Source organism: Homo sapiens, chromosome 14 (genome assembly GCF_000001405.40).
Source record: "Homo sapiens chromosome 14, GRCh38.p14 Primary Assembly".
Lineage (NCBI taxonomy): Eukaryota > Metazoa > Chordata > Mammalia > Primates > Hominidae > Homo > Homo sapiens.
In genome coordinates, this window is record NC_000014.9 from 58,630,227 (window position 1) to 58,652,297 (window position 22,071).

At 43.7% G+C, this 22,071-nt stretch overlaps 1 protein-coding gene across 7 annotated transcripts, besides 1 other annotated feature; it reads left to right on the forward strand.

The window, feature by feature from the left end:
• On the forward strand, positions 3,835-18,095 carry DACT1 (dishevelled binding antagonist of beta catenin 1). 7 transcript variants are annotated; one of them, NR_165651.1, is made up of 5 exons: positions 8,611-9,036; positions 9,187-9,265; positions 10,510-10,642; positions 11,366-11,521; positions 15,143-18,095. NR_165651.1 is itself a non-coding variant. In NM_016651.6 (4 exons), exons 1-4 carry the CDS (start codon positions 7,977-7,979, stop codon positions 16,906-16,908), a joined length of 2,511 nt encoding a protein of 836 aa, NP_057735.2. In that variant the 5' UTR covers positions 7,736-7,976; the 3' UTR covers positions 16,909-18,095. The 7 variants fall into 7 exon arrangements, 2 of the variants coding, with proteins under 2 accessions (NP_057735.2, NP_001072988.1); NR_165650.1 differs by lacking the exons at positions 8,611-9,036; positions 9,187-9,265 and adding an exon at positions 3,835-3,959 and having other exon boundaries at positions 15,032-18,095; NR_046093.2 differs by lacking the exons at positions 8,611-9,036; positions 9,187-9,265 and adding an exon at positions 3,835-3,959.
• Positions 7,527-8,236: a silencer, noted in NCBI's record as "silent region_5801". NCBI's record gives its function as "represses an Ori minimal core promoter by ATAC-STARR-seq in GM12878 lymphoblastoid cells {active_cell/tissue: GM12878}" and the evidence as "EXISTENCE:reporter gene assay evidence [ECO:0000049][PMID:35858748]".

The window sequence follows — 22,071 nt, forward strand, 5'->3', positions numbered from 1 at the left end:
GATGAGGTTTCACCATGTTCGCCAGGCTGGTCTCGAACTCCCGGCCTCAAGCAATCTGCCCACCTCGGCCTCCCAAAGTGCTGGGATTACAGGCGTGAGTCACCGCGCCCGGCCCAGACTCTATGACTTTAGACATAAAGCATTCACCCAGTCCTGCCACTCACCTTGGAGAGTAAAGCTGCATTAGCAGTGGATCCAGCTCTCAAGAGGAGCTCACTGTCTACAGAACAATGAAAAGCAGAGGGGGCAGTAACTGGAGTCTTGTCCTGAGTGGCTGACAGAATCACTTCACTGCCTGATATTTAGAGTATCTTTGTCTTCCCACACCATGATATATTGCAAAGATTTTGGGAAATCTTCTTGTGCTCTTTGGATGAAAGGTGTGTTATATTAGGTCCATAAAAAGGTTTTGGATAAATTATAGAAAAAAATTGATAATGATGATAATAATGCCATCTAGCATTCATTGAGTGCTTATTATATGTCTGGCACTAAACTAATGATGAAAATACATCTCTAATCTGTAACTATCTTATATCTGGTAGTCCCAAAATTGTCAAAATATTCATTTCTAAATGGGGCCTGTTTATAATCTGCAATTGTTAATTTGGGTGATGGGTTCATGGTGATTAATTATACCATTTTCCCTACTTTGGTGCTTTGAAATTTTCCCTAATAAGAGGCTAGGCAAAAAAGGAAGAGGCTAAGCTTCATAAACCATATTCCAGGATGTACTGTGTACGAAACCCTTCACAATAGCTGTCTGTGAATTAAGAGCAAGCCCATTTTACAAATAAGGCAGCTGAGGTTCAGGTTAAATTACTTGTTGAAAGAGTTGAACCCTGGCCAAAATTTATATTCTTCCCCATATACCCTGCTCCTGTTCTACTGGGCCATATGGTTTCAAAGAACAGACCTCTGTGTTTTATCTTGGCAGCACTGCAGTACCCAGATTTCTGTCCTTGAGTGGGTGGATCTACTTATAGCTCAAAATAAAGGTTTTTTTTTTTTTTTTAATGTAATGTATATGCCTTATGAAAACTGTCAAGGCAATTATGGTGGCTAATGATAATTTTTATCTCATAAGAATGTCCTTGTCCTTGATTGTATATTCTATGTGTGAGTGTGTTTGTGCACATGTGTGTATAACATTTGGAACTTTGGGGTCCACCTCCCTCTTAGGTTGGTGGTGATTTAGGCATTATTTTACTGATGAGAAAAACAAGGCTCAGAGAGGTCAAAGTTGGCAAAACCAGTGTATGGTGAACATAATGGAGTGGCAGAATGTGGTGCATCAGGAGTTAATCCAAACTGGCGGGATTCCGAAATCTCTGTCTTTCCACCACCTCAGTAAGTGCCACATTAGAATCGGATTCTTTCTTCTAAGAAAACAGCTTCTATTAAAGCCAAGAGTGGGTAAACCAAATTCCTCTATAGGACCAAACTGAACAGAAGCGAATTGTCCCATCTGTTGTCAAAACCACCCTCCCGGACTTCAAAGCATCTCGGCTCAGGAGGGAGAAGTCCCTGGGCGGGGGCGGCCAGAGGGAGATGGAAGTAGAGCCCCTAGGCTTCCTATCGGTCCCTTCAGGTCTCTGAGCCGCACGCAGCCACTGACTGTCATCCCAGCCGACTTCTCTTTGAATCTGAGGCTCTTCACGACCCCCATCCTTTCCCTTAGCCCAAACATACACTCTGGGCCCGACTTCTGTTTGAAGTGGATGTGCTACTCTTCACACTGCACCCTGCGGAGGTGCCACGGGATTAGAGGAGGCGGCGCCCCGTGGGGCAAGGCGACCCGAGCCGGGCCAGCAGTGTGCATTTTCAGCCTCTCCCGGGGTGATAATGGCATTCTGGGCTTTTCCACAGGGATCCCTAAGCCCCTGAGGGGTCTTAATTAAAGAGGCTGTGCGGGTCTTGGAGGCCAACACGGGCCAGGAAATCAGTATGGGAACTTGTTTAGAGTTCTTGCCTGGCCTCAGAGAGGCTGGGTTCACAGGAGCAAAGGAGATGGAAAAGTTGGACCAAATGTCTATATCCTAAATCAAAAGCCTCCACTTTCATGTTAATAATCTAGGGCTCTCCCACAAAATGTCACTTCATTGATCATTTCTGTATGCTATGTAGAAACGATCAGAAAACCATACTGGAAATTGCTCATAGTACCATGGGTTGGAGTGATGCTTTCTCTTTCACCTTTCTGGGATTATTCTGAGGAAAAGGTAGTACTAGATCAGTGCGGTACTTAAGTTATCTTAAAACTTATTTACATGTACTAGTTACTCCCTTTCAGTGGAAGATATTTAGATGAAATATTGAACTGTTTTGCTATACAGCAAGTATCTTCCTAAAGAAATTTCAAATGTGGCTTTAAGGAGAATAAATATTTTTTAAAAAAAGATAACACAAAGTAAAATATAAGATCTCCTTCCCCAGAAAAAACTTAAGGATTATAAAGGTCAGTAATATATTTTTGTGATTTGAGTATGACTTTTTGGATATAATCATAGAATATATCTGTTTAAAAATATTATTTTGCAAATTGTGATAGTTTCACAATTTGTAAATGCACACATACACACTTATGTATGTGGTTATATAATTAGTGCCAGTTTACCTTCTAGACCATAAGCTCTGTGAACGTAGGGACTATATCTGACTTGTTTACCCACTGTATTCCCAGTGCCTGGTATTAGGTACTCAATAAATATCTGTGAGTGAATATTCAAAGAGGTGCAGTGTAATTATGATGGTACATATTTGTTTTTATCCCAGGAAAATGCCTTTTTAAAAAAAATTAATATTTCAGTTATTAAGTATTCAGGTTATAAATTTAGATGTTGTTTTAAGAAAGTACTAATGTCTGTATATAAAAATGTGATTGAAAAGATTCTATGAATTATGAAATCATATATGCAACTGTTTGCCAGTTTGTGAAATTAAATCTTTTTTTTTTTTTTTTTGAGACAGTCTCACTTTGTCGCCGCTGGAGTGCAATGGCGCGATCTCGGCTCACTGCAACCTCCACCTCCCGGGTTCAAGCGATTCTCCTGCCTCAGCCTCCTCAGTAGTTGGGATTACAGGCGCGTACCACCACGCCCGGGAAATTTTTGTATTTTTAAGTAGAGACGGGGTTTTGCCATGTTGGCCAGCCTGGTCTCGAACTTCCGGACTCAAGTGATCTGCCCATCTCAGCATCCCAAAGTGCTGGGATTACAGGCATGAGCCACCACGCCTGGCCTGAAATTAAAATTTTTAAATAATTGGAGAAATGGTCCCAATAAAGCAGAGTAAGAGCAAAATCCACCTAATACAATTGGTTAAAGAAGCCACTTGTGTAATCCTAGCATTTTGAGAAGCCAAGGCGGGTGCACTGCCTGAGCTCAGGAGTTCAAGACCAGCCTGGCCAACACGGCAAAACCCATCTCTACAAAAAATATAAAAATTAGCCTGTAGTCCTAGCAACTTGAGAGGCTGAGGAAGGAGGATCACTTGAACCCAGGAAGTCATGGCTGCAGTGATCTGAGATCGTGCCACTGCACTCCAGCCTGCGTGATAGAGTAAAACCGTGTCTCAAAAAAAAAAAAAGCCACTTGTCTCTGAAACACTTTTAAATTTTGCTTTGAAATCAAATCCTTTCATTGTATTAGTACCACAGTATGTGGCTCTAGGTATTTGCACACATGGAACTCTGCACCTTCCATCTGTAAAGATGACCGGTAGAAATGGCAGAGCTAAGGGACAAAAGTCTGAGGCTGGTGGAGACTTAATCACCTTAATCAGTGATTACGACGGTGGGGAATGCAACTCACTTCCAGACATTCTAGAATCTTTGGAATCCACAGTGCTCTGCAGGAGGAAGCAGGAGCCTCTTGAAAAACTTACCACCAAACTTCATGGAATCACCCTGGCCTTCTTCAACAAAAACCTCTTTAACAGCACTAAAACACAGCTAAAAGGTAACCTTTTCATGTAGGATGGTTTATTTGGTAGTGTTTGGTTGTGCACCAGAGAGGATGGAAGGAGTTGTTTCATAGCCTTTCAAACAAGACCAGCATTGTCAAACATTTGCTGTTTCTTCTGCTATTCCCCTATTCCCTTCTGCCCTCAAAAGATGTTTAAAATTTTCAGGGCCATGATGTTGCCCCATTTTGCTACCACGCTTCTTTTTTCTTGATCTTTTGTTTCAATGTCTGCTTTCTTTCCCCTGTGTGCTCACTGAAGCCTGATTGTGGGGTCAAGCTATAATTAGTTTATATATGAAGTTTAATTCACTGTGGCTTTTTTGGCATTAGACTCAAATGGGCTTTGATGTCTGGCTGGGGCTTTGATCCCAGACCCTCGAATGGTGGTCATCTCTCCAGCTCAAAGGATTGCCCTTTACTCTTTTCCTCCTATTCGGAGACAGCTTTTCCCAATTACATCATTTGTGTTTGTTTGGCCATAAAAGCTGCAAGGCATCATTTTGTTGCTTTGCTTGATGGCAAAATGTGCAACTGATGCCCCTTACTTTGCTTGGCTGCAATAGAATGTTCACCGCTGGACAAGGCATTTGTAGAATGATGCTCAGACTTTGGTGGGGGTGCTGTTAGGAGCTGTTCTGCCTAAGGACAAAGCATCAGACTGTGTGATATGAGGGACATGTTCTGGCTCTGCCCAGGAAAGATCTTCAAGCATAAGTTAACACCACTGTAATATATTCAGCCAAGACTCTTTTTCATGCTGGCAACTTTATCTTACTCTCCAGATCATCCAGGCAGCAGGTCCACCCCATCGTTAGTGGTACACTTTCTGAGTGTCAATTAACAGTTTTTCTGAGCAGACAGGCGTGTCCAGGGAAAGCAAAAGAACCAACTAGGGCTGAACAACATTAGAAAGGAGATAATGAAATAGCACTAGTGGAGGAAGAAGTACCAGCACCTGCTTTAAAAAGAAAGGGAAAGAAAAATCAAAACAGTAGGGGGAAGTGAGATTCCGTTGGCAACAGAAGGGAGCAGTAGGCGATCACTTTCAACTGCTTCCGGAATACCTGCAACAAAAACAAAGAATCAAAGAGGAAAGAAAATCCAGGCAACTAGACTGGAGGGGAGAAAATTTGGCTGCTAGCTTAAAAAGAGAATAGGGGCAACCCAGCCTGTCTCACTTAATCTGATGACATTGGGAGTTTTCCTGGAAAAACAATTACAGCATTGAGCTCCTTGCTTCTAACTTCATTTGACAGCCTGAGTTTGTTTTAATTGGCATGTGAATGAACAGCATTATTTATTAATGTGTAATGGATACTTTGGAAAGCATAACCTTTTTTCCTATTCGTGACCATTTTATTGGCGGAACCATCTGAATATATTAGTTTTAATATTTAAACTTGCTGAGAACACTTTTTCATGGAGATATACAAGCTGTTACGGCAAATGGCTTGCTTTGGACTAATGAGCCAGCTCAAAGTGGCATTTGGTGAGGAGGGGGGTTGGGAGGGTGGGGAGGTTTGGAGACATAGCGAGCTTGTCTGCCTGACTTAAGATTTATTAGTAGTGTGTAAAAATGTGTTTCAGCTTTTTTTCCCCCTCAACTATACAAATATAGTTGTCGATGTGTGACATAACACAGGCCACAATAATAGACTCCACCCAGTCAGAGGAATCTAATTCAGAGCTGGAAAGCAAGAAGCTTGTTTAGAAATGAGCAGAATGAAACAATGACAGAGGACATGGGTGAGTGGCATTTGGCAAGCAGGATAAGTCACTATCCTTTCGTGCCTTACTAAAATTAGGGAGGAAAATTAGTTCCTATATTATAAAGTAGTGTTTGGCAACAGCAGGCATAAAGAATAGATAACCTGAAGAGAATCGATTTTGTATGCTTATGAACACCTGACCATAATTCCATTTTTAGAGCTAATATACAACCTTGTTAATTATGAATCAAGTTTGTAGTTCTTTCATGTCTGTGGGAGGCAGCAATGGGGAGGAAAGTGAAAGGTGGCAAGGGAGTTCTTTTGTTTTTGTTTTTTGGTAAATGTCAACTTAATTCTATTTGTAGTAGAGATTAAATGGGTACTATTAAGTTTAAAAGTATGCTAATGAAAAAACAATTTACAACCAATCTACATTCTCGAGTCTCTCTCTAGCAATTGTCAGGTGAATGCTTGCAAGGTAATGTGCTGAATACAGCGATACTAAGAGGGTATTAAAACAGTCCCTGCCTTCAGGAAGCTTTCATAATGTAGATGGAGAGAAGAGATACACATAAACACCTACGTAGATAGATATGCGTGTGCACACCCAGATAAATAACCATACAGGTAGCATGGGATCAGAATCAGATATTTATATAGTTAACTGGAGCTCAAAGGTTGGAAGGGTGGTTAGACCACACAGAGAGGGGAGGAAAGAAGAGGAATTCCTAGCACGGGTAAGCAGATGGGCAAAAGTGCAAGTGTCTGAAATAATGATATAGGATGCACTCTTTCACACAACACTTTGCCTGAACTTCAGCAATTGTGACTTGCTGGATTGAATTTCCGAGGTTCTTGGATGTACTGCTTTTAAAGATATATGTGGTACTTTTCCACAGATAAGCCAGCTAGTGGAATTTTCAGACCCCTATCCCACCGGAAATTTCAGTGGGATAGGGGTCTGGAGTAGTGTGTTCCAAGCAGAGATGACCAATACATGATACTTCAAGAGGGAAGACTTATAAATCCCTCTGGAGAAAAGCTACAACTCATATCACCTTTACTATCTATGTGCTAGCCACGTTGTAAGTGCACAGCCCCCACAATATATAGCATATGCTGCATACTATTATAATTCTTCAACAGCAGGTTCCCATAGCAGCTGCTCCCTTTTACAGTGGGGGGAACGTACACAGAGAAGGGAGTAAGTTGCCCGCACAGCTATTTAGGGGTGAAACTGGGATACAAATCCAGACAGTCTGATTTCTGAGTCAGAGCTCTTATTGTAAACGCAGACTAAGTAATAATAAAAGCTCAAACAAAAACCAAAGCGCGCACGCGCGCGCACTCAAATCGTAGGCTTGTAAAAGAATTGATGCAACCTCTCGCTATACAACGACATCCTCCTGCCTAATTTTAAATGCCGTCCATCGTAAGACCGACGTTAAAAAATTAAAACGACAACAAAACTTAAGTTTTAGAACACTGCATTGTGCTCTGTATTGCTTGCCTTTACAAAGTGGAGTTAAGGAACCAACCCCACAGTGTCTGTGAATACACTTGCAATACCTTGCTTGGGAAGTGAAAGAAACCTAACTCGGTGTGAGTGGAAATGAGGAGTGGCCGTGTGGGGAAAGGGTTAAGACTGTGCTGCAACTTGGTCGAGTTTCAGAAAGTTCTCCGGAGAGCCCAACTGCCGCGTCCCGTCGCGGCCCCTGCCTGCGCGGCCGACTGTAACAGGATGCTGGGGCTCCAGGCGCTCGCCCCGAGCTTTGGGCGACGAGAAAGAGCCAATGAGGAGCGAGGGCAAAATCGGGTGCAGTAAACCCGAAAAGGGGGCGAGGAGGCCCGCGAAGAGAGCGGGGGAGGAGGCGGGGAGGGGCGAGGAGGGGCGGGGAGGGCCGAGCGAGGAGGAGGCGGCTCTGGGGGCCGGGCGGCGCGCCTGACAGAGGAGGGGAAGCCTGGGGGCGCAAGCGTCGCAGCCGAGGGGCCGGCGCGGGGAGGCGGGCGCCAGGCGGGGGTTTGCAGGGCCGCCGCGCGTGACGTAGCGCCGGGCAGGGCGTTATCAGCTGCCGGGCCGCGGCGAGGGACGCGCGGCGACAGCGGACGGCGCTGCCCGGGCCGGGACAGCAGCAGCCGGCGGTCGCGCGCAGGACTCGAGGGCTTCTAGCCACCGTCCCCGCCAGCGCCGCGCCCCGCCACAGGGCGGCATGAGCCCACCCGCGGCCGCAGCCCTAGCGCCCTGCTCCTCCGCCTGGGCGGCCCGGCTGCGGTGACGGCTCTCGCTGCCCGACTGGGGGCCATGAAGCCGAGTCCGGCCGGGACGGCGAAGGAGCTGGAGCCTCCGGCGCCGGCCCGAGGCGAGCAGCGCACGGCGGAGCCCGAGGGGCGCTGGCGGGAGAAGGGCGAGGCAGACACCGAGCGGCAGCGCACCCGGGAGCGGCAGGAGGCCACGCTGGCCGGGCTGGCGGAGCTGGAGTACCTGCGCCAGCGCCAAGAGCTGCTGGTCAGGGGCGCCCTGCGCGGCGCCGGGGGTGCGGGAGCCGCTGCGCCCCGCGCTGGGGAGCTACTGGGGGAGGCGGCGCAGCGCAGTCGCCTGGAGGAGAAGTTCTTGGAGGAGAACATCTTGCTGCTAAGAAAGCAATTGGTAGGTCGTGCCCGAAGGTGGAGCACGGCTGTTCCTGCCCAGGGGCTGGAGGTCGGGCAGGTGGCCTGGGGCGGGCGCGAGGTTGACTCTGGCTGGGGAGATGCTCGCTGTTATGGGACGCCCCCGACCGCCCCATACCTCCCTGATCCCCTTCCTGAGTGCCCGCGGCGTGTGGGCTGCCGACGCCCACGCGTTTCTGGCGTGTGCCCGCTTTGTGTCTGGCGACCTCGCGCGGATTGCGGGAAGGGGGTGGCCGCTCTTCCCTCCTCCTCTGCCTTCGGGATTCTTGGAGTCGCCTAGTTCTAACGTTCGGTCTCCTTAGTTAGATGAGTATATGCCCTCTCCCCAGCGGTTTGCAAACTCCCACTTAAAATACCATTTTATTTGGAGGTTTTCTTGACTTTATCTCCTCCCGCCGAGAGGGGCCAAAAGCCAAGGAGGGGGTTTGTGGCGTGCTTAACTGTCCAGGGCCGAGTTTTACGATTACACTGGAGCGCCTGTAGGGAGCCGTGCCTCTCCGAGAGCTCTCCCCAGCATGCCAGCTTTCACCCAGGCTGGTGCTTAATTTCAAATAGAAGCCCTTTGTATAAGGCAGCTCAAACTAGATGGAAATGATGGAAATTTGGCTGGAGACTGTGTCCCCTCCTCTCATATTTTATACGTTCTGCCAGCTGTGATTGGTGGTGGAGGTGGGAGAAAAGAGAACCTGCTCTCGGTAAGCATTTATCTTACTGGGTTTCTGTCAGTGTCTCAGTCTTTCTATGCAGTCTTCATTAATGGGGAAGAAAAAGAACTTTGTAGCTTAATGTATTGATGAACAGCTTTTGACCCCGCCTCAGAATAATGGCGACAGCTTTGTTTTCAGTGACCTTAAAATGTAGTTTTGGAAACAGCAAACGTCCTCACCTGACCAAGTGATACTATCTAAACTAGACACATGCCAGGTAGTGGCCCTCCCACAATAAAGTGGTGATGCTGTGCAGTTGTCATGTGTTTTCTTCTATTATCTCTTTTCAGATCATTTCTTTTCTCTGTGTGTGTGTGTGTGTTTTTAAGCACCAAAGTGCTTTTACTTGATAGGTTCATTTTTCCTGAAGAAATTAATTGTAGCAAACAAACATACAATTTATGTCTCCAAGCTTTTTAAGTCAAAAGACAAGAGGCGTAGATATTCATATGCATGTGTTTTGTAAGGATGTACACTGTGGTTTGTGTAATATCTCTGTTTTGGCATTTTACTGTGCTGCTTCGGTCACAGACCAGATTCCTATGTAACATTCATTTGAGCCAGTTCTCACTGGTTATGGCTGGTGACTTTTACATTTTATTGTTTTGTGCAATTGCACCTTTTTGTCTGCATGAATCTCAAGATTGTAAGTGGCGCATTCCTATTGTCCGCTTGAGGGGAGCAAAGCAGTATGTCAAGAGAATTCCAGTCCAGTCAGTATTTATGGTACTATTTTCATTTGTAGACTTGGCATTCATGATTTGAACCAGATGCTTTTTGAGTTCTCCCGTTTTTCCAGCAATAGGAAGCACTAGGTGGCAGTGTGAGTTAGCACAATCCATCTGTCACCTTTGGAAACCCAGAGGCGTTCAAATCTCGATGGGCCTTCCCATGAGGGTTTTGGATTCTGCCAGCTCACATTATACTTGGCACTGGCTATTAGTATTAGTTTCTCACTTTCAAAGGCTCTAAGACTGATTAAACCCCACAAAGCAACTAATAGAAAACAAAACTCTGCAGGCCAAGACATTTGGCCAGAAAATCTCACCTAAGATTATAGTGTATTATAGGAAATCTCTTACTCTCATTTCAAATTAAAGAGTCTACTGTGAAGTATTGTTTTTTAAAAGACTGGTTATACACCAGATGATTTAAAGTCTCAGTCCATTTTTCTTGTCCCTATCTATGAAAAGTCAGTTTGTATATATTAGTTGAAACTAAAAACAAGTCTTGTTTTTATGAAGAAACTTTATATCACCACAAAATGTGAGAAAGTGGAATTAAACATAGGACATATTCTTGAATTCTCGAAGTTTTTCGTTACTTCAGGTCATCCAGTAAAATTTTGGTTTTCTAAGTTTAGTGAACTCTTCAGATGGGTAATTTGAATCCTTAGAGTAGACTTTCTGGTTCTTTTGTCACCCCTGTATGTTCATGTTTCCTTTGTTTCTTCCTAATCAGAACTGTTTGAGGCGAAGAGATGCTGGTTTGTTGAATCAGTTGCAAGAGCTTGACAAGCAGATAAGTGACCTGAGACTGGATGTAGAAAAGACATCTGAAGAGCACCTGGAGACAGACAGTCGGCCTAGCTCAGGTGAGTGATTGAGCACAAGGACAGAATTCTGCACTCTTGAGTTGTATCTCAGCCCCTTGTGGTTAACATTCCCAGACCTGCAAATGGCAATGGAGTTTGTTTCCAGTGCAGAGAGGATAAACAAAAAAGAAGTCTGCCATTCAGTTTTATCGGAATAAGAGGGAAATAAACTCAGACAACAAAATTTTTAGTAATGAGATCAATGTGATTGGAGTCCCCCAAGTTTAAAAATAAAAGCTATTCAAATTTCTGCAAGAGGTGCCCTCCTTTGAAACTTGAGTAAGTCAGAACTGGGCTAGAAAATTAGTCACACTTCAACTTCCTGAGACCACTTCAAAAGTTTTTTTTTTTTTTCTTTTAAACCATTTGGGCTCCTTAGATTTTTCTCTTATTATTGTTCTGAAACAATCATGATAAAGATGAGGCTTGACAGATCTAAGTTTCTTTCCTTGGACATGTTCAAAGGCGGGGTCAAGGAATAAGGTCAATTTGAGGGTGAGGGTAACTCTGAAATGTACCCCTAGTTATGGGCTCTTTGCCTTTTCCTAAGGATTGTTTGAAATAAGACCATAAGATTAGGACACCAAAGTCCAATGAATCAAAATTGGCCAAAAAACAAACAAAAAATCTCCTTTTCCTAAATGATTATTCATTTTCCTGTTAAGCGTGAATATGCATTATTTCTTGACATGATGTTAATTCCAACGGTGTTTTTATTTGTAGGGTTTTATGAGCTGAGTGATGGGGCTTCAGGATCCCTTTCCAATTCCTCTAACTCGGTGTTCAGTGAGTGTTTATCCAGTTGTCATTCCAGCACCTGCTTTTGCAGCCCCTTGGAGGCGACCTTGAGTCTCTCAGATGGTTGCCCCAAATCTGCAGGTAAGAATTTTTAGCACTGATAGAAATTTTTAATTGGAAGGCATCAAGGGCCCTTAAAAGGTTATTTGGCTCCAGCACCTTTCACTGGTGGAAAAATGAAGGTTCATCACTTTGCGGCATTTAGTGCCATACTTACATCTAGAACTCAGTTTCATCTAGGTGAGTATCTAGAACTATTCCAGTACCCTTTGGGTGCTACTTGGTTATATATTTTGATAGCAGCAAGACACTTTATCTCTAGAAATCCTGTCCCAATATTGTAGGTCTTGAGCTCTGTTTCTGAGCCTTTGCTGTTAGGTTGTCTGTATTTTCTTTCATTTTGGAACTGTTTTCTTCTTTTAATTATGTAAAGCTAAAACTCAGCCAGGTGCAGTGGCTCACACCTGTAATCCCAGCACTTTGGGAGGCTTAGGCAGCTGGATCACCTGAGGTCAGGAGTTCAAGACCAGCCTGGGTTGGCCCGGTGCAGTGGCTCATGACTATAATCCTAGCACTTTGGGAGGCCAAGGTGGGTGGATCACTTGAGGTCAGGAGTTCAAGACCAGCCTGGCCAACATGGTGAAACCCCATCTCTACTAAAAATACAAAAATTAGCCGGGCATGGTGGCACATGCCTATAGTCCCAGCTACTCGGGAGGCTGAGGGAGAATTGCTTGAACCCAGGAGGTAGAGGTCATAGTGAGCCGAGATTGGACCACTGTACTCCAGCCTGGGCGGCAGAGAGAAAAAAAAAACAAAAAACAAAAGACCAGCCTGGGCAACATGATGAAACCCTGTCTCTACTAAAAACACAAAAATCGGCCGGGTGTGGCAGCATGTGCCTGTAATCCCAGCTACTTGAGAGGCTGAGGCAATAGAATCACTTGAACCCCAGAGGCGGAGGTTGCAGTGAGCCGAGATTGTGCCACTGCACTCCAGCCTGGGCAACAGAGTGAGGCTCCATCTCAATCAATCAATCAGTCTAACACTCACATTAAGTTAAATATGTCCATCAGCCTGGCCAAGAACTGGTTGGCACTTCAGGGAGCAATGGCCCTTTCATGTTCTCCAGAATGTTCTGCATGATGGCAGCTTGTTTTTTCTTTTAAGTGGGTGCCCACATGCCATTATTCCTTATTTTGGGATATCTTTGCAATGACCCCCAGAAGGAATCATGCTATTGTACTAGAAGAGTTTCTGCATTTCCAGTATGTGTCACACACTACTGGATGCTCTGTATGTATTTATCTCCAATGAATCCTCCCAATAGTCGTGCACAGTACAGGTCTTGTTAGCTCCATTTTATGTATTAAAAAAATGAGTCCTAGTAAGGTTACATATGTTATTTAAGGCTCTATAGATGGTGAGTGGCAGAGGCAGAAGTTAAGCTCAGGCCTAACTGCCAGGTCCACGTTTTTCATCATCCCAAGGGAATTCAGAAATTGTTGTTTTCAACCTTCTCATCTAACAGAAGAGGAATTTTGGCTTATAAGCTAATTGTCAGAGGTTCTCCATCTGCTGAATGGCAGGGTTGCTGCTGGAACTCAAGACTCCTTCCTTAGTCCTGTTACATTGTGAATTCTTATAAGAGTAGAGAAAATATGAAGATTAGAATTGCTCTGGGTCCTGGGCACAAGTCATCACACTCCTGGTTTGTCTGTGTTCTCCACTTGGGTATAAGCCTGAATTTTTGAGTCCAGGCAAGGCAAACAACACTGAGCAGCTGAGGGAGCTAATTGGCTGGTGTCTTCATATCTGTGTGTTGTCAGCAGCAATCATTTGAGGAAGCACAGAACTGTGTTATCTAGAGGGTCTGGGCCTCAAGTTCATTGGTAATTGCTCCCCTTCATTCCACAGATCTGGTTTCAGAGGGAAACTTTATAAACCCATTAAAGGCACTTTGGTTTAGGTTTTCCTTCAAGACAGACCCGTGCTCTTCCAAATGCCACTTCCTCACATAATTGAGACAGTTGCACCAGGCCTTGGGGGCTAGGATATCTGTTTTGTTCAACTCTAAAGAGGGAAAAGGGATGAATAGTGAAGTGTTTGTCAGTGTGGCTTTAAGTAAGGCAAAGATAGGGCTTACGTTGCTGGGAGAGGAAGGATGGGGAAGGATGTTAGCTAGAGAGGTTTCCTTTTAGAACAAGCTCTTTATTGGGGGGGGTCATGTGGGTGGGGACATGGCACTTTTGTTTTATTATGTTTTCTTTACATATCATCTCTGGGTCTAGACTATTTTTTCCCTGAGACCGCTAATTATCATTGAAGTTTATGGAGCTTTCTCAACATAGAATCAGGCACATATAGGTTCTCAGTATTTGAATGAATAAATACAATGGAGGACAAATTATTACTGATAAACTCAACTTTAATTTTCTCTGATAACTGAAGGTCATTAAATGGATTTGTTATTTATAATATTCACCAACTTAAGAGATCAAAATCCTTTAAGACAGCAAGCTTGATTTTGCTGTACTTTGGCATCTACATTTTCAAGATATGGGAAATTTATCCATTAATATTACCACATGATCTTTTAAAATATTACCAAGAATTCTTTATCCTATTAAAAAAACATTTTTGACAAGTGGGAAATTTATCCATTAATACTACCACTCAATCTTTTAAAATCTTATCAAGAATTCTTTATCATATTAAAAAAGTTTTTTTAAATTAAAAATTTTGTTGTAGAGAGATGGAGTCTCACTGTTGCCCAGGCTGGTCTCGAACTCCTGGGCCTAAGCGATCCTCTGGCCTCAGCCTTTTGGTGTTAGGATTGCAGGCGTGAGCCATCATACCTGGCCCCTGTTTTATTTTTTTAGCATCACTATTGAAAACATAAGGCGATTATTATTTAAATCTGATCAGTTTTTACTGAAGTTTGATCAGTTTCCATCACCTTTCAATTGACAGTTATATTTGAATGGATGTCATTAAGAATTAGGTTTAAAAAAACACAAAATGAGGAGAAAGCCTACTGAACGTACAGTTTATCCTAAAGAAAGCCAGGAATAGAACAGAGGGGAGAGCAGCCTAGAGAAACAGTGATTCAAAAAATGTTTCCCAGTTGTAAACGCAGTACAGACAGTTTAACAGAAAATAAAGAAGAAAGTAAATATCACTTACTTCTGATCATTCTGAAATACTACTACTAGAATCTTGGTGTGCTTCATCTCAGATGTTTTTTCTTTGCATACATGTGATCCTAATAAGATTATAATCATATTCTAGTATTATATCATGATTTTCACTAAACTTTAAAGTGTTTTCCCTCTATTATGCAGTAGTTTGAAAACACTCTTAATGGCTGAATTTTTTTCCTTCAGAGGATATATCATATGCTGTCAAAAATTTTTGTTAAATATTTCCCCCTCATCCAGTAGCAGTACCTACATGTGAAATGGTAGGGCAGCACTTTTTAATCCTTGGCAATCTCTTTTTACCCATGGATTTTTCATAAAAATTGGCCAAAGAGTCAAGCTGGTGCTGACCAATTCATTTCTTCAGAGTGTACCTTTAACTGTTTTTCAGATCTCATAGGATTGTTGGAATATAAAGAAGGCCACTGTGAAGACCAGGCCTCAGGGGCAGTTTGCCGTTCCCTCTCCACACCACAATTTAATTCCCTTGATGTCATTGCAGATGTGAATCCCAAGTACCAGTGTGATCTGGTGTCTAAAAACGGGAATGATGTATATCGCTATCCCAGTCCACTTCATGCTGTGGCTGTGCAGAGCCCAATGTTTCTCCTTTGTCTGACGGGCAACCCTCTGAGGGAAGAGGACAGGCTTGGAAACCATGCCAGTGACATTTGCGGTGGATCTGAGCTAGATGCCGTCAAAACAGACAGTTCCTTACCGTCCCCAAGCAGTCTGTGGTCTGCTTCCCATCCTTCATCCAGCAAGAAAATGGATGGCTACATTCTGAGCCTGGTCCAGAAAAAAACACACCCTGTAAGGACCAACAAACCAAGAACCAGCGTGAACGCTGACCCCACGAAAGGGCTTCTGAGGAACGGGAGCGTTTGTGTCAGAGCCCCGGGCGGTGTCTCACAGGGCAACAGTGTGAACCTTAAGAATTCGAAACAGGCGTGTCTGCCCTCTGGCGGGATACCTTCTCTGAACAATGGGACATTCTCCCCACCGAAGCAGTGGTCGAAAGAATCAAAGGCCGAACAAGCCGAAAGCAAGAGGGTGCCCCTGCCAGAGGGCTGCCCCTCAGGCGCTGCCTCCGACCTTCAGAGTAAGCACCTGCCAAAAACGGCCAAGCCAGCCTCGCAAGAACATGCTCGGTGTTCCGCCATTGGGACAGGGGAGTCCCCTAAGGAAAGCGCTCAGCTCTCAGGGGCCTCTCCAAAAGAGAGTCCTAGCAGAGGCCCTGCCCCGCCGCAGGAGAACAAAGTTGTACAGCCCCTGAAAAAGATGTCACAGAAAAACAGCCTGCAGGGCGTCCCCCCGGCCACTCCTCCCCTGCTGTCTACAGCTTTCCCCGTGGAAGAGAGGCCTGCCTTGGATTTCAAGAGCGAGGGCTCTTCCCAAAGCCTGGAGGAAGCGCACCTGGTCAAGGCCCAGTTTATCCCGGGGCAGCAGCCCAGTGTCAGGCTCCACCGGGGCCACAGGAACATGGGCGTCGTGAAGAACTCCAGCCTGAAGCACCGCGGCCCAGCCCTCCAGGGGCTGGAGAACGGCTTGCCCACCGTCAGGGAGAAAACGCGGGCCGGGAGCAAGAAGTGTCGCTTCCCAGATGACTTGGATACAAATAAGAAACTCAAGAAAGCCTCCTCCAAGGGGAGGAAGAGTGGGGGCGGGCCCGAGGCTGGTGTTCCCGGCAGGCCCGCGGGCGGGGGCCACAGGGCGGGGAGCAGGGCGCATGGCCACGGACGGGAGGCGGTGGTGGCCAAACCTAAGCACAAGCGAACTGACTACCGGCGGTGGAAGTCCTCGGCCGAGATTTCCTACGAAGAGGCCCTGAGGAGGGCCCGGCGCGGTCGCCGGGAGAATGTGGGGCTGTACCCCGCGCCTGTGCCTCTGCCCTACGCCAGCCCCTACGCCTACGTGGCTAGCGACTCCGAGTACTCGGCCGAGTGCGAGTCCCTGTTCCACTCCACCGTGGTGGACACCAGTGAGGACGAGCAGAGCAATTACACCACCAACTGCTTCGGGGACAGCGAGTCGAGTGTGAGCGAGGGCGAGTTCGTGGGGGAGAGCACAACCACCAGCGACTCTGAAGAAAGCGGGGGCTTAATTTGGTCCCAGTTTGTCCAGACTCTGCCCATTCAAACGGTAACGGCCCCAGACCTTCACAACCACCCCGCAAAAACCTTTGTCAAAATTAAGGCCTCACATAACCTCAAGAAGAAGATCCTCCGCTTTCGGTCTGGCTCTTTGAAACTGATGACGACGGTTTGAGTGACATCATTGGTGTAGAAAGTTTGTGTGTTTTTTTTTCTTCTCCCTAGTTGCCAAAATTAAAAAGGTGGTGTTTTCATTTTTGTATAATACTTTAATGGAATGCTTTTTAAAAAAATATAAAACCAAGGTAAATTATTGTTTCATCTTCACGTATGGATGCTAGTGCCTTTAATGGAAGGTAAAGAATGTTTTGCTAGTTAGAAGTACATATTGAGGTTTTAATGGTGGTGATAGTGAGTTTTGTGGCACCAGCTGTTTTTTATTTTAAACTTTCTGAGCATCCGGCAAGGTACAGGTTTTGATGTTCAAGTTTTATTGGGATAAGATCTTTTGATCCCAAGGTCAGGTGGATGGAATTTTTGGATTTATATTTGTTCCTTGAGTCTTCAGGGCAGTGTCTCCATGAGGGTTTTCCTGTTGAGGGGCACCACATACAATAGTGTGAAGTAGGTATGAGGGGCAGTCATTGTATTCTATAGTTTTTTTATGTAGTCTACATTTCTCAGATGTATCCCCATTCGGTTTTATTCTCAGAACTGTTACTAGACTCATGACTTGGAGGCCAAACCTTAAATCCAGAGATAGCAGCCTCGATAGGGACCTTAAAAGGATTCACAAAAACTTTTGCCACACTTGGTGCCTAGGCCCTGTTCCTAATAACCCCTTCTAGGGCCGTTTATCCAACATTTAGATGCCTTCTTTTCCCTCCCTAATTTGTAGCCAGTCCAACCTTTCATTCCTTGGAGGATTTAGTTTTGGGATAAAATTTTGGTCCTTGGGCACAGAGACATTCACTATTAATGAAGTAACCCTTGGGCATGACTCCAATCCCAGAATTGCTCACTGAGCGCTATGCCACCGAAGCGTTGACCTGAACATATTAGTGCAATCCAGTCCAGATTGGACCTTTGATCCTATGTGGAAGGGCTGTTTTTTAAGAAAAAATTTTTGGTAAACAGTATTGTGTAAAATTGCTTTTTGTATACCAATATATGCATGTTTTGTGCATGAGTAGTACTTGTGTTGATACTCCTGTTGATGTTAAATTACTATATAATATAAACAGTATGTGTTTTTATATATCATTGTGTAAATTTAATATAACATATGCAGTAATAAACCATTTGTTTTACTGCTGTTAAGTTTGTTATTTGGGTATAAAACCAGATGTTTACACCTGTAAATCTTGTGCTGGTTATTGGTGTTATTTGTGAGATTTATGTTAGACCTATTCTAGCATAAGAATATCATTTGCAATATAGATAGGTTTTAGTATTAGAATGGACGATGAGCAAGCAAATGAAGGAAAGCAGACAACTTCTAGTTAAGGTACTTTAAAATTTAAGGTAAATTTTATAGGTGTCATCTAAGGAAAATATTTCTGAAAAGAATCCCTTCTCCCAACTTTTTATTACAAAAAATCTCAAACATGGAAAAGTTGAAAGGATAATATAATAAACAACTATATGCCACCTAGATTCAACAGTTGCCAACATTTTGCCATGCTTGCTGTAACTGTATGTATGTATTAGGTTTAACTATATTACTGATTTTTCAGGTCAAAAACATATAATAGCAATCCTCCCCTCTCCTTACCCCACACTGATAAAATATTTTAAAGTAAATTTCAGGTATCATGATATTCTATCTTTAAAAAGCATGCATTACCCAAGAACAAGGAGATTCCCCTGTATACCCACAATATCATGATCACACTTAAGGAAAATCAGTAGTAATTCATAATATCAAATATTAATATAGAAAATTTCCCAATGTGTTTCAAGAACTTCTTAATAGCAGCTTTGTGCCCTCCTACCTCCCCTACAAAGCAGGATTCAGTCAATGTCATGCATTGCATTTGATTGTAGGTTGTAGGTTTCTTTTTAGTCTAGAACAGTCTCCCCACATTAAACAAAAGATGCTAGGTTTTTATTTATTTATTGAGACAGAGTCTCACTCTGTCGGGGAGGCTGGAATGCAGTGGCTTGATCTTGGCTCACTGCAACCTCCACCTCCCAGGTTCAAGCAATTCTCCTGCCTCAGCCTCCTGAGTAGCTGGGATTACAGTGTGCGTCACCATGCCTGGCTAATTTTTTTGTATTTTTAGTAGAGACAGGGTTTCACCATGTTGGTCAGGCTGGTCTTGAACTCCTGACCTTGTGATCCATCCCCTTCAGCCTCCCAAAGTGCTGGGATTATAGGCATGAGATACCGCGCCCGACCTATTTATTTTTGAGATGGAGTCTGGCTCTCTCCCCCAGGCTGGAGTGCAGTGGCATGATATTGGCTCACTGCAACGACTGCCTCACAGGTTCAAGCGATCCTTCCACCTCAGCCTCACGAGTAGCTGGGAATACAGGCCTGAGCCAGTGTGACCAGCTAGTTTGTATTTTTAGTAGAGATGAGTTTGTCAGGCTGGTCTTGAACCCCTGGCCTCAAGTGATCCACCTGCCTCCGTCTCCCAAAGTGCTGGGATTACAGGCGTGAGCCACCGTGCCTGGCCAGATAATTGGGTTTTTAAAGAGTAAGGACAGTTTTCTTGTAGAAAGGCCAACATGTTGGATTTGGTTGTTTCCTTATGTTGTCTTAGAATCCAGGCCCTTTATTTCCTGTAAACTGGGTGAGACTTGATTGAATTCAGGTTAAACATTCTTGGCAAGAATATTTCACTAATGATGTTGTATACTCTTACTCTTTCACATCAAGAAACAGCAGCAGGCTGTCCCACTATTTGAGTGATACCTTGATTAAGTTGGTGAACATAGATTTCTTCATGATAAGTTGGTGAACATAGATTTCTTCATGATAAAAGTAAGTCTTCTTATGCAAATAATATTTGGGGATGGATTCTTTGGTACTGTGGCTGTCCTATCCCTCAACAAATTCCACTTAATGGCTTTAGCTTATGTGGCTGATTCTTTTTTTTTTTTTTTTTTTTTTGAGACAGAGTCTCGCTCAGCCGCCCAGGCTGGAGTTGTAGTGGCGCGATCTCGGCTCACTGCAACCACCGTCTTCCGGGTTCACGCGATTATGCTGCCTCAGCCTCCTGAGTAGCTGGGATTACAGGCACCCGCCATCATGCCTAGCTAATTTTTGTATTTTAGTAGAGACGGGATTTCACCACGTTGGCCAGGCTGGTCTTGAACTCTTGACCTCAGGTGATCCGCCTGTCTTGGCCTCCCAAAGTGCTAGGATTACAGGCGTGAGCCACTGCGCCTGGCCATGGCTGATCTTTGCTTGAATCAGTGATTGCTGTGGAGATACAAAGTGATAGTTTTCTAAATATCCTTCCTTCTACTTTTATTAGTTGACATTCTTAAAAAAGAGCCTTCCTTATTTTTTCTTTTTCTCTTTGAATATCATTACGGACACATGGAGTTTTATTTATCTGATGTTTTATAATCATTTTACAGTCTCTGTTCTTTTTGATGTTCAGCATGTCCCAAATTTGGCCAATGGGAGGATAAATTTTATTAAAAGGAAATTATAGAATCAGCTCAGTCTCTCTCATAATTCAGATACTTATTATGAAATATATCCAATTAAAATTAACTCTTCAAATGCTGAATTTCAGATGCTGAGTTTTAATGCAACAAAAATCCCTTACTATTCATTTTTTACATTTTGTCTTGGAAATGTTCCTTTTTTTCTATACTTTATATATTTCTTACCTCTAGCAAGGCTTTTGGTCACATCTTTTAGCAAGACATCTTTGTTTGTTTGTTTGTTTGTTTTAAGGCATCTCAACTCAATTCTTCAAAATGTAGAGTTACTAGTCTTTTAGTATTCAGAATTTCTTTGATTACTTGACTAGATCTAAGCCAACCACAAGTGAGGGGATGATCTCACCATCTTTTCTAATGCTGTGATCTGATCTCTTTGGGGCATAGCTATAAAGTTTATTGCGTAAGGCAATTGTGACCTGCAGTCAATTCTTGAATCATTTCCAAGTTGTTCTCAATAAGCATTATTCTCGGAAGGGGACACTTTCTAAGAACCACCTGAGTAATTACATTGTAGGTGACAGGATGCCAAATTAAGAGAAGTGTGAAAAACAGGATTTTCAAAGAATCTTGGGTTTGTCCTTCTCCTAGTCCATTGCTTGACTTTCCTGTAGCTCGCAGTTGTACTGCACTCAGAAAACTGGGTTTTGTCCGTTATTTTCAATGACAAAATAGTTGCTGTTGTTGTTACAAGCAAAAGAGCTCCTAAAAATATTTTCCTTTATTTAAAAAAATTACAAATGCTCATTGTCAAAAGAAAAAACTATATCTGAACAATATGTCAATTTTAAGAACTCTTCCCCCTCAATCCTCCCCAAATCCTACTTTTTGGTAAATTTAGTGTATACATTTCTATACTCTGTTATATGTACATACAAATACATAACCTCTGTAGTTTTTCTTCAAAATGAAGTTTCAAGCTATGTTTATTATTTTATAACTTGCATCCTCCATTTCTTGGACCTGTATGGCAGAATATCATTCCCAATTCTTTTTAATGGGGTTCCAAATATTTCCTCACTGAGGAAAAGATATCAGATTTTGTAGGTTACTTGAAATTGCCCTGCTTAGAAACATTCTAATATTTAGCAACAAAGTGCTACCCAAATGTTATACATTTGTTATACACACATTATTGCCTTTCTGGTTTTCTTATATATTTGGTTATTTTGTATTGTGAGCTTGCTTTTAGTGAGGTATTATTGAAGGAATCTGGTGAGGCTTGGTTAAAGATTTTGCCATACAGAGAAATTTTGTGTTTTTTCTGCCAGGTGCCTCAGGGATATTTCCAAGCTGGACCACTTTTTAAGTTAATTTATCTGTGGTGGGTTTCCCTGACTACAGAGGTTGTATAAATTCAAATCCTAAGTGCATATGAGGGATAGGTTGTGGTTACATGTTCTCAGAGGCAAACGAGGCCCATAAGCTTCCTTCTTTTCTTTTTTATTTTTTTGAGACAGAGTCTCACTCTGTTGCCCAGCCTGGAGTTGCAGTGGCGAGATCTCGGCTCACTGCAACCTTCGCCTCCTGAGTTCAAGCGATCCTCCCACCTCAGCCTCCCCAGTAGCTGGGACTACAGGCACATGCCACCATGCTCGACTAATTTTTTGTCTTTTTAGTGGGGACAGGGTTTTGCTATGTTGCTCAGGCTGGACTC

Coding starts and splice junctions, on each gene's coding strand:
- DACT1 (NM_016651.6), top strand. CDS start 7,977: ATGAAGCCGAGTCCGGCCGGGACGGCGAAGGAGCTGGAGCCTCCGGCG. Junction 8,322..10,509: donor TGCTGCTAAGAAAGCAATTG/GTAGGTCGTGCC, acceptor CTTCCTAATCAG/AACTGTTTGAGGCGAAGAGA. Junction 10,643..11,365: donor AGACAGTCGGCCTAGCTCAG/GTGAGTGATTGA, acceptor TTTTATTTGTAG/GGTTTTATGAGCTGAGTGAT.